At 42.5% G+C, this 12,490-nt stretch overlaps 1 protein-coding gene across 26 annotated transcripts in view; it reads left to right on the top strand.

The window, feature by feature from the left end:
- CPEB1 (cytoplasmic polyadenylation element binding protein 1) overlaps positions 1-12,490 on the top strand; it is a 105,595-nt gene that overhangs the window by 64,094 nt on the left and 29,011 nt on the right. Inside the window, exon 4 of one of the 26 annotated variants that reach the window (NM_001387072.1) lies at positions 1,240-1,331. The exons of the other annotated variants lie outside the window; for them this stretch is intronic. The gene's annotated coding sequence lies outside the window, so the exon portion shown is untranslated. The remainder of the gene's footprint in view (positions 1-1,239; positions 1,332-12,490) is intronic. 26 annotated transcript variants of the gene reach the window in all.

Here is a 12,490-nt window from a genome sequence, read left to right as displayed (position 1 = left end):
TGGGATTTTTTTTTTTTTTTTTTTGATGGAGTCTCGCTCTGTCTTGCCCAGGCTGGAGTGCAGTGGCGTGATCTTGGCTCACTGTAACCTCCTCCTCCCAGGTTCAAGCGATTCTCCTGCCTCAGCCTCTAGAGTAGCTGAGATTACAGGTGCCCACCACCACGCCTGGCTAATTTTTGTATTTTTAGTAGAGATGGGGTTTCACCATGTTGGCCAGGCTGGTCTTGAACTCCTGACCTCAAGTGATCCACCTACCTTTGCCTCCCAAAGTGCTGGGATTACAGGTGTGAGCCACCGCACCCAGCCTGCATTATGGGATTCTTAACCTGGGTACATGGATAGAATTCAGGGGGTCCAATAATTTAGACAGGTAAAAACTTGTATCTTCACGTTCAGTGATGTTTAACTGAAACGTAGCTTTTTTTTTTTTTTTTTTTTTTTTTGAGACGGAGTCTCGCTGTGTCACCCAGGCTGGAGTGCAGTGGTGCGATCTCCACTCACTGCAAGCTCTGCCTGCCGGGTTCATGCCATTCTCCTGCCTCAGCTTCCTGAGTAGCTGGGACTGCAGGCGCCCACCGCCATGCCTGGCTAATTTTTTGTATTTTTAATAGAGACTGGGTTTCACATTGTTAGCCAGGATGGTTTCTGTCTCCTGACCTTGTGATCCACCTGCCTCGACCTCCCAAAGTGCTGGGATTACAGGTGTGAGCCACCAAGCCCAGCTGCATTTCTTTTAACTGTAAGTTTAGGCAACAAGTCACAATATTAGCAGGACCTAATAATTTGGTATCAATAGGATGATCAGACAATTCATATTGATTCCTTTACAGGCATTGTACATACCTTGACATTTATTTACTATTTCAATATTATTACTATTTTATATGTTTTGAAACATTTTTCTTAGAAGGTTTATTGGTTTTAGCAGACTGCCAAATGGTTCATGATACAAAAAAGGTTAACCTCTGGCATTCAGTTTTCGTATTTTGGAGTTTGTTTAAATAGGTGCCTATTTTATACACTTATAAGAAGTACCTGAAGTTAAAGCTTTTGCCTGCATCTGTGATTATTTGGACATAGGATAAATTTCTAAAAGTAGTATTTCTTTATCAAAGAATAAATCTTTTGAAGCTTTCAATGTTTTTGTCAGATTGCTCTCCAGAATGTTGTACCAATTTACCCTCTATATGGAAATACCCTGCCTTCCTGTTTTAAATAACTGGCTTTTATATTATGTAGATGCAGTCGTGATTGGCACTGTAAAGGGTCTCCAATTTGATGTACTGTTTAAGGAACTTCTGCAGACCCCAATTTGAACAGTGTAGTGTCAGGTAAAGTAATGTTTCATTGTGTTTTGGTTATACTAGTTTTACTAAAACTAGTTGTTACCTACAACCTAGATGGCATGTTGTATTCAAGGACTCTGAACCAGAGTCTTCAGGATGGCGTGCTTCAGAACTCCCCCATACCATAAGCAGTAGATTGGATGATGCTAGCCTTGAATCAGCAGTCGTCTTTTTTGCTCTCCATGGGTAAGAAGTAAAATTATCGCCTTTGAAAATAATATATGCACATAGCAGCGAAATCTTAGAAACACCCGAATGTGAAATTGACTTTCTGCTGAATAAGTAGCAGATTGTGGAGAGAGTAGTGGGGAGGGTGAGGGAGTTAGTGTTAAGAATTAAACTCCTACAGCACTTTGGGAGGCTGAGGCGGGCGGATCACAAGGTCAGGAGATCAAGACCATCCTGGTTAACATGATGAAACCCCATCTCTACTAAAAATACAAAAAATTAGCTGTCGTGGTGGCCAGTGTCTGTTGTCCGAGCTACTCAGGGAGGCTGAGGCAGGAGAATGGCGTGAACCCGGGAGGCGGAGCTTGCGGTGAGTCCAGATCACGCCACTGCACTCCAGCCGGGGCAACAGAGTGAGACTGTGTCTCAAAAAAAAAAAAAAAAAAAAAAGAACTCCTAGTATGATGGGATAGGTTTAGTACACAGTATGGGGACCTGAGTGCAGAAAAGGGATCCTTTGCTAACTTAATGATAAAACAGGTCTGAGTAGGGTTATTATGTATGAGTGTAGACCTGGGTCTAGAAAGTGTCCCATTGTGGGAGAGAGGTCAGGGGATCAGTTAGTCCCTGTATTTGAGACCAACAAATCGAGATTTGGATCTTCTGCCTTTTAGTAGCTTTGTCGCTTATGGCCATCTCTGAGCCTTGTGTGCTTTCTAGTAAAAAAAGACGGGATGGCGAGGAATTTGACAAGGTGGTCTTTAAGCTTCTTTCCTGCTTTCTTTTGTGGCTGACTTTCTTAGCTGGTGCCAGGATATTAAGGGCTTTTGTCCCAGAGATTTTTATCCTGCATGCAGTAGTTACTTGTTTGGTCTATCCTTGCTAAAGGGCCTGAATTACGCAGAACACTCCCGTTTGTAAAAAATCAAACACCAAATTAGAACTTACTTTAGTAAAATGTGGGGTATGTTGGAACGCTGTTGATACAAAGCTCATAGAATAGGAAGGAATCACTGGAAAGCTAGGGATACTGAATCTGTGGCCTCCAATTTTGTCTATTTCTGTCTTTCCTCTGCTCATTTCCCAGTGTGAGTTTCATTATCTCCTTTTGCAGAGTTGCCAGTTATGAGAAAGGGTATATGCTCACATCCTTTGGCATCATGGACAATCAGGAAATAGTTCTTTTTCCATTATATACAGTTAGAAAAATCTCAAGGAAAGATACCCAGCTAGCTTGGCTTAAGTCATACCCATACCTGGACTGGTCTCTGTAGTCATGGGAATGGGTAATTCTTGCCCAGCTTGAGTCAGATACTTACCTATGGGACCATCACTGTAACCAGTGAGGTAGAATGCTGCAAGAAGATGCCATTGTCTTTAGGACCACTTGGATGGCAATTCAACAAAAGCAATTCAACAAAAACCTGGTGTCGGGGAGATTTTTAAAAACATTGGGGATTCATGAATTAGGCAACAGCAATCTTCAAACATTTGGGTACAACCTAATTTTTAAAAAAAATGTACACCGCAATGAGATACCAGTTTACACTTGTTAGGATGGCCATTATTAAAATGTAAATTGTCGGCAAGGATATGGAGAAATTAGAACATTTGTGCATTGCTGGTGGGAATGTAAAATGGTACTGCTGCTGGGGAAAAGAGTGTGGTGCTTCCAAAAAAAATTAAACATAGTGTTACCATATGATCCAGCAATTCTCCTTCTAGGTATACACACAAAAGAATTGAAAGCGAGGACTTGAACACATATTTGTATGCTAGTGTTCATAACAGTACTATTTACAATAGTCAAAAGGTAGAAACAGGAAACAACCCAGGTGTCCATCAGTGGATGAATTGGATGGATGAACAAAATGTTGTGTACGATGCAAAATTAGGAGCTTTAAAAAGGAAACCTAGCACAGTAGTGCACACCTGTAGTCCCAGCTACTCGAGAGGGTGAGGCAAGGAAGGATCATTTGAGCCCAGGAGTTTGGGGCCAGCCTGGACAACATAGCAAAATCCTATCAGTGAATGAATGAATGCATGCATGCCAGGCATTGGCTCATGCCTGTAATTCCAGCACTTTGGGAGGCCTAGGTGGGTGGATCACTTGAGCCCAGAGGTTCAGCAACAGCCTGGGCAACATGGGGAGACTTCCATCTCTAAAAATTTAGCCAGGCTGGTGACATGCACCTGTGGTCCCATCTACTTTAGAGGCTGAGGTGGGAGGACTGCTTGATCCTGGGAGGCTGAGGCTGTAGTGAGCCATTATTGCGTCATTGCATCCCAACCTGGGTGACAGAAGGAGACCCTGTCTCAAAAAAAGAAAAAAAAAAAAGAAATTGGGGACGTACTGCAACATGGAGGAACCTTGAAGACATTATGCTAAGTAAAATAAGCCTGATACAAAGGAAAAATATTGTATAATTCCACTTACAAGGTCCCTACAATAGTCAAATTCATAGAGACAAAGTAAAATAATGGTAACCAGGGGCTAGGAGGAGAGGGTAGTGGGGAATTAGTGTCTAATGGTACAAAATTTTAGCTTAGCGTAAAAAAAGCTCTAGAGGTGAAGAGTAGTGATGCTTGCACAAAAATATGAATGTACTAATGCCTCTGAATTGTATGCTCAAAAATGGTTAGAGTGGTAAATTTCATGTATATTTTACCACAATAAAATTTTTAGTACAGGGTACCCCTTGCATATTTAACTTGGTATCTACATTTTTATTATAAGTGAAACTGTAGATTTACAATAGTAGAGAGATTTGAGACCTATTATCTATTTTAAAATATTTAAACCAGTTCTTTAACAGGGGGAAACTTTTCATTATTTCTTTTTTCTTCTTCTTCTTTTTTTTTTTTTTTAAGACAGAGTCTTGCTCTGTCTCCAGGCTGGAGTGCAGTGGCATGATCTCAGCTCACTGCAACCTCCGCCTCCCAGTTTCAAGCGATTCTTCTGCCTCAGCCTCTCGAGCAACTGGGACTACAGGCACGTGGCACCATGCCCAGCTAATTTTTAGTATTTTTAGTAGAGAAGGGGTTTCACCATGTTGGCCAGGATGGTCTCGATCTCTTGACCTCATTATCCGCCTGCCTTGGCCTCCCAATGTGCTGGGATTACAGGTGTGAGCCACCGCGCCTGGCCCATTATTTCTTTTCTCCTAGTATTTGTAGTCCACTTCTCCCGCTGAGTTTTATCTTAATGTAATATTTTGTGCTTGAGAGTCTTTTTTTTTTTTTTTTTTTTTTTTTTTTTTTTTTTTTTTGAGACGGAGTCTCACTCTGTCGCCCAGGCCGGACTGCAGACTGCAGTGGCGCAATGTCGGCTCACTGCAAGCTCCGCTTCCCGGGTTCACGCCATTCTCCTGCCTCAGCCTCCCGAGTAGCTGGGACTACAGGCACCCGCCACTGCGCCCGGCTAATTTTTTGTATTTTTAGTAGAGACGGGGTTTCACCTTGTTAGCCAGGATGGTCTCGATCTCCTGACCTCATGATCCACCCGTCTCGGCCTCCCAAAGTGCTGGGATTACAGGCGTGAGCCACCGCGCCCGGCCGTGCTTGAGAGTCTTTTGTTGATCACATGTCATCCTTCTCTGTAACAACAAAAGTACATAAACTGAAATTTTAAATTATTTCCTGTGTCTCAAAGGTGATAATGATGATTGTTAGGGCAATTAAGGCAATCTAAATGTTATAAATCTTGATAAAGTTTTATTCTTTAATAATTGTTTATTGGAAATGCTTGTTTTGTTTTTTGTTTGAGACAAGGTACCTGTCGCCTAAGCCAGAGTGCAGTGGCGCAATCATGGTTCATCGTAGCCTCAACCTCCTCAGTAGCTGGGACCACAGACAAACACCACCATGTCCAGCTATTTGTCTTACTTTTTGTAGAAACGGGGTCTCCCTGTGTTGCCCAGGCAGTCTTGAACTCCTGGGCTCAAGTGATCTTCCTGCTTTAGCCCCCTAAAGTGTTGGGATTACAGATGTGAGCCACCACACCTAGCCTGGAAATAGTTTTTAATGACATAAATTGAGGTCTTTTAAAATCTCATGTAATTTTAAGGCTGGGCATGGTGGTTCATGCCTGTGATCCTAGCACTTTGGGAGGCCGAGGTGGGTAGATCACATGAGGTCAGGAGTTCAAGACCAGCCTGGCCAACATGGTGAAACCCTGTCTCTACTAAAGTTCAAAAATTAGCTGGGCGTGGTGGTGCATGTGTATAATCCCAGCTACTCGGGAGGCTGGAGCAGGAGAATTTTCTGAGCCTAGGACGTGGAGGTTGTAGTAAGCCAAGATTTTGCCATTGCAGTCAGGACGACAGAGTGAGACTCTCTCAAAAAACAAAACAAAACAAAAAAACATGTAATTTTGTATGACTGACTTATTGCTGGAATGACTTGGGGTTTTTTTTGTTTGTTTGTTTTTTTGAGACAGAATCTTGCTTTGTTGCCCAGGCTGGAGTGCAGTGGCATGATCTTGGCTCACTGCAACCTCCGCCTCTTGGGTTCAAGTGATTCTCCTGCCTCAGCCTCCTGAGTAGCTGGGACTACAGGTGCACGCCACCACACCCGGCTAATTTTTGTATTTTTTAGTTGAGATGGGGTTTCGCCATGTCTGGTCTCGAGCTCCTGAACTCCAGTGATCCACCTGCCTCGGCTTCCCAAAGTGCTGGGATTACAGGTGTGAACCACTGTGCCCACCAACTTGGAATTTTCAACACTGTATATATACATTTTGTTTCCATAGGTTTGTGCCCTGAGTAAACTTGTTCACATAAAATAAGTAGATGGGGAATGAACTAGTTCATACAATTCTTTGATTTAGTTCTGTGCAAAAAATTAGTCATGTATTATTATTTTTAGTCATCTACTGGCTGATAGTTGCGTTCATTCCTCCTTCATATTGGTTGAAAAGAAAGAACGGAAAACCAGCTAATTTGTGAAAAGACGTTTTACCTAGTCATACCAGACATGGAATTACTCAGTTTCCTAACTATACCAATAATGCTTTATCAATGTAGCTTTTTTATTTTTTATTTTTTTTTGAGACGGAGTCTCGCTCTGTTGCCCAGGCTGGAGTGCAGTGGCACGATCTCGGCTCACTGCAAACTCCGCCTCCTGGGTTCACGCCATTCTTCTGCCTCAGCCTCCCGATTAGCTGGGACTGCAGGCACCTGCCACCATGCCCGGCTAATTTTTTGTATTTTTATTAGAGACGGGGTTTCACCGTGTTAGCCAGGATGGTCTCGATCTCCTGACCTCGTGATCCACCTGCCTCGGCCTCCCAAAGTGCTGGGATTACAGGCGTGAGCCACCGTGCCTGGCCCAATATAGCTTTATCAATGCTATATTTTTCAGATGAGGCTGAATGCAGTGGCTCACACCTGTAATCCCAGCACTTTGTGAGGCTGGGGCAGGCAGATCACTTGAGCTCAAGAGTCTGAGAACAGCTTGGGCAACATAGCAAGACCCTGTCTTTACAAAAATATACTTCCCAAAAAAATTAGCCAGGTATGGTGGCATGCACCTGTAGTCCCAGCTACTTGGGAGGCTGAGGTAGGAAAATCTCTTAAACCTGGAAGTCTAGTCTGCAGTGAATTGTGTTTATGCCACTGCATTCCCGCCTGACAGAGCAAGATTCTGTTTCTAAAAATCCATCTCAAAAAATAAAAACAGATTTGAGATTACTACTATGTCTGTCCTTCACTTAGACACACCTTAATTCAGTATACTTAAAAGATAGAGAAAACTTAAAATAGTTTTTGTGCAACATTTGTAGGAAATTAAAAAAAAATTTTTTAAGTTAGTTTAAAAATACACCTTTGCAGTCGGGCACAGTGGCTCACACATGTAATCCCAGCACTTTGAGAGCCTGGGGTGGGAGGATCCCTTGAGCCCAGGAGTTCGAGACCAGCCTGGCCAACATAGTGAGACTCTGTCTCTACAAAACAATAAAAATAGTTGGACATAGTGGTGTGCCTATAGCCTCAGCTGCAAAAACAAAACAAAACACACCTTTGCCAACATGCTATTTAAAAATGATTTAATCTTACCATTTGCTTTAAGTATGTTTTGTCAAAGCCATGGGCCTATAGATTTAACTTTATTTACAGAAAAAAATTTCTACTATAATGCCTCATTTAATGGAGTCCTGTTTTTGGAGACGGGGTCTCACTCTGTCACCCAGGCTGGAGTGCAGTGGCGTGGTCTCAGCTCACTGCATCCTCTGCCTCCTAGGCTCAAGCGATCCTTCCACCTCAGCCACCCAAGTAGCTGTGACTACAAGTGTGCACCCACCATGCCCGGCTGATTTTTTGTATTTTTATTACAGACGGGGTTTTGCCATGTTGCCCAGGCTGGTCTCAAACTCATTGGCTCAAGCTATCCACCTGCGTTGGCCTCACAAAGTGCTGGGACTACACGTATGAGCCACCACACCCAGCCTGGAGTCAGTTTTTATTGTCAAATCAATTAGTTCAGTCAGACTTTCATTTTTTCAGAAAAAGTCTGACTTTATTTTTTTCTCAACATTTTAGTAACATTTTCAAGCATACATAAAAGCTAAAAGAATTACAAAGTGAACACCTGTAATACCACCTAGATTGAACAGTGAACATCTTGTCATATTTGCCTTATCACATATCTTTAAATTGTAGACATTGCTACAGTTTACCCCAAAATCCTTCACCATACATATCATTAACTAGTATTCAATACTATATTTGTTTATAACTTTTTTGAGGTAAAATTTATATGCAGTGAAGAGCACAAATTCTAAATGTGTCATTAGATCCATTCTGACTGATGTATCCTCACTCTCATCAAAATATACACACTGTTAGCATCACCTCAGCTACTTTCCTTGTACCCCTTCCTAATCTACCTGCCTACTTCCTGCCAGAGGCAACCACCTGATTTTTTTCACCATTTATTAGTTTTGTCTGCTCTAAAAATTCAAATAAGTGGAATTATATACATATGTAACTTATGTACGGCTTTTTCCACTCACCATAATTATCTTATTGTTGCCTGTATTATTCCTTTTTATTGCTGAATAATAGTATGGTATATGCATGTACTACATTTTGTTCTGTTGATTCTCACATGGACTGAATCCACGTTTGGGTGATTATGAATAAAGCTGCTATGACTATTCTTGCACAGGTGTTTTATTAGACATACACTTTTACTCCTCTTAGTTGAATTCCTAGGAGTAGAATTTCTGGGTCATAAGATAATATGTGTTAGTTGTGTAAGAAATGGGCAGACCATTTTTCAAAGTGGATGTACCTTTTCTCCCATTGAAAAGGAAGAAAATATATAAGCGTTTTCATAAGTACAAGGTGGATGTACCATTTACGGTAATGAAGCTTTGATTGACAACATCAAATGTTGGCAAGATGTGGTACAGTCTTTTAAATTTTAGCCATCTAGTAGGTGTGCAGTAGTGTCTCACTGTGGTTTTAACTTGGATTTCTTTGACTAATGATTTTGAGCACTTTTTGAAGTTCTTATTGGCCATTTATATAATCCTTGTGAAGTGCTTTTCAGATTTTGTGCCTTTTAACAATTGAGATTTCGTTACTTTTCAGTTAAGATTTCTTTTACTGATTTGTCAGATATGGTTGTGGGTATTTTCTCACATATTGTGGCTTGCGTAATTATTTTCTTAGTGGTATCTTGATGAGCAGAAGTTTTTCGTTGTGATAAGGTCAGCTTATCAACTTTCTCCATGATCATTGCTTTCTGTACTCTACATAAAGAAACCCTTGCTTCTATGTACTCCCCCTCCCCTACCAAGTTACAAAGATAGGTTCTTAGAGAGGCTTTGTAGTTTATACTTAGCTTTCACTTTTACGTCTCTGATATCTACTAAATTAATGTTTGTATATAGGTCAGAGTTTATTCCCTCCTCCCCATATGGTGTTCCAGTGCCATTTGTTAAAAAGTTTTTCCCCAATGAATTGCTTTAAGTCTGGTATATTGGGATTACACAGATGTGCAGATGGCCCCAGACTTAGGTTGGTTCAACTTTGGTTTTTGACATGATGATGGTGTGAAAATGATACGCATTCAGTTGAAATTGTACTTTGAGTATCCATACGACCTTTCTGTTTTTATTTTCATTACAGTATTCAATAAATTACATGAGGTGTTCATCACTTTATTATAAAACAAGTTTTGTGTTAAATTATTTTGCCCTACTGTAGGCTAGTGTCAGTTTTCTGAGCACAGTTAAGGTATGCTAGGCTAAGCTATAATGTGCAGTAAATTAGATGTATTTAAATGCATTTTCCGTTTATAATATTTTCAACTTACAATGGGTTTATCAGACCATAACCCCACTGTAGTTGAGGAACATCTGTATATTAATTTTGTGGGTATCACTTTTTAGCGCTGTTGAGTCTTCCAGTACATGAACATGGTTTATGATTTTTTTTTTTTTTTTTTTTTTTTTTTTTGAGACCGAGTCTAGCTCTGTTGCCCAGGCTGGAGTGCAGTGGCACGATCTTGGCTCACTGCAACCTCTCCCCTTCCTGGGCTCAAGCAATTCTCCTGCCTCAGCCTCCTAAGTAGCTGGGACTGCAGGCGTGTGCCACTGTGCCTGGCTAATGTTTTTTGTATTTTTAGTAGAGACAGGTTTTCACCACGTTGGCCAGACTGGTCTTGAGCTCCTGACCTCAAGCGATCTGCCTGCCTCAGCCTCCCAAAGTGCTGGGATTACAGACTTGAGCCACTGCACCTGGCCTCAAATATTTTCTTTAATCCTCACAAAACACCTAAAAGATGGCTACTGTTGCATCTTTAAAGAAGAAAAGATTCTCAGAAAGACACAGTGGCAGACCTGGTGAGCAGAGCAAGGTCTGTCAGTCATCTAAAGCTGTTGATTTTTCCAGCCTGCCACACTAATGGTTTTAACAGGTATGGCCTGCATTGAGTTGGAGCTAGTGAAGAAATCCTACAATGGTAGTGAAAATCTTTATCTAGAAGAAACAACAGATTGAGGAATGTCTGGATAAGGAGGAAGGTGAGGTCTGTGGTGGGGGTTGTAGGGGTGAGGGTAGAATTATACTGTGTGTAGAACTCCAAGCTCCTGGATGCATGTAGCCATTTGGTCTTAAATGGGTTTAACAGACCTGTTGCTCAGGCCTGGGGTCTTTCAGCTTGGGGTGGGAAGATTGTGTTAGTTGTACACATCAGTACTGTTCAAACTTTTGAGATGGGAACTACTTTGTCGCCCAGGCTGGAGTACAGTGGTGCAGTCATGGCTTTCACTGCTGCCTTGAACTCCTGGGCTCAAGCAATCTTCCCAAAGTTCTGGGATTATAGGCATGAGCCACCACACCCGACTGCTCAAACTTTTTTTGCATACATATATATTAACTGGGGATCTTGTTAAAATGCAGATCTCAATTCTGTCGGTCTTGGGTGGGGCCTGAGACTCAGTATTTATAACAAGCTCCTGGTGATGCTCATATTGCTGGTCTGCCACACTGTATTTTGAGTAGCAAGAGCATAGTTGATTCTCTCCTCGTGAGGGATGGGGGTAATCATATGCACAGTCACCCTGATTTTAATGGGTAGAAAATGGCTGCTTCTAGACATAGATGCCCTCAGATTGGGGTATGGGGATTATATAGATATTTGGTGTAGGGGAGAATAGATACTTAAATATGGATGTTTTTGAAGGAAGCATTGTGTTTTGGTAACTAATATGTATGGGTGAAGTCTAAAGTATATCCTTAGCTTGAGGGAAGGGTGAACATAGAGAAGCAGGAGGGGAGTAGTCAGGGGTAGGGGCAGCACCAGTATGGGTGATTTTTGCTAGGCCTTTGCCATGATGAACAAGGCTTTGACAAACACAGATAGGGAGCAAGCAGAATATCTACAGCCAGGAGGAATAACGTGGATGGATGACACAGCAGCAAAGCTTTAAAAAAAAAAAAAAATCTCCAAAGGAAGGAGACTGATAATTTTCCCTTCTAGGCTATGCCTGAGTGCCTGTGGACACAGGGTGTACTGCAGGAAGTTCTGAACAGCTATTTCTGTGGCAGCATTATTCTCTCGACCCTGCCATGGGAGGTCCCAGGTGGGCATGCTTCCCGTATCTGCTTGCTTCTCCTTGCAACAGGGGAGAACAAGCAGGTGGAGTGCTACCAGCTGAGTCCAGGTTTGAGCAGCCTGCCTGGTGAGTCTGGGCCTGTTGCCCTACCCTCCTTTATGAGGAAGAAGCCCAGTGACCCTGGGCTCATGTTGGAAAAGGACCGATGTGGGAGGAGATGGCAAAGAGGAAATGGCGGAAGCTCCAGAAGCTGAATTTTCTTAGTCTTTGTTGCTGGAGCTGTGAGTGGCCACAGAAATAAGCATTGGTCTTGTGCAGCACCTCTGAGAGAGGGCCTGGATGTTAGAGGCATCAGTGGCCCTCACGGCTGCCCTGTATCATGCTCAGGGCTCCTGGAAGGGCAAGAGAAGCAATATTGACAGAGCTAGGTGATTAGGTTTCAGAGTTTGGTGTTTCTAATAGGGCGTAACGATACTTCAGAGACTGTTTCTCTTGGTTTGTCAGATGCTGCTTCGAGAGTGTTTCCTCAGTCTGTGCCTACAGTTGCAGGAGGGAGGGGAGGAGCTGAGCCGCTGTATCTGTTCATGACTAATACCCATCTTGTTGGGATGAGGGAACCTGGGCACAGGGATTATCCTAGTCAGGGCAGGTCTCACTCTGGCATGTGGGTTGTGGGCCATGTCCTTTGAGGTGTACCTGGAACAGCCCAGTGACTCTCCCCCACTCTGCCAACGCTTACCCCCTTTCTCTGTGATAAGCTGCTCTAGACAAGCCTGGAACACCAGGTGTTGTTCCCCAGGGTCCAAGTGTACAGTATTTTTCTGAAGGTTATCTTGTTCCTCAGTGGTAAACACTGCTGTGTCAGGGTGCTGCTCAGGGGCCACTTGGAGCACAGATTTTTGCTAGCAGG

This window comes from Homo sapiens, chromosome 15 (assembly GCF_000001405.40).
Source record: "Homo sapiens chromosome 15, GRCh38.p14 Primary Assembly".
Lineage (NCBI taxonomy): Eukaryota > Metazoa > Chordata > Mammalia > Primates > Hominidae > Homo > Homo sapiens.
Note: the sequence above shows the minus strand (reverse complement) of the source record. Positions and strands in the feature narration are given on the sequence as shown.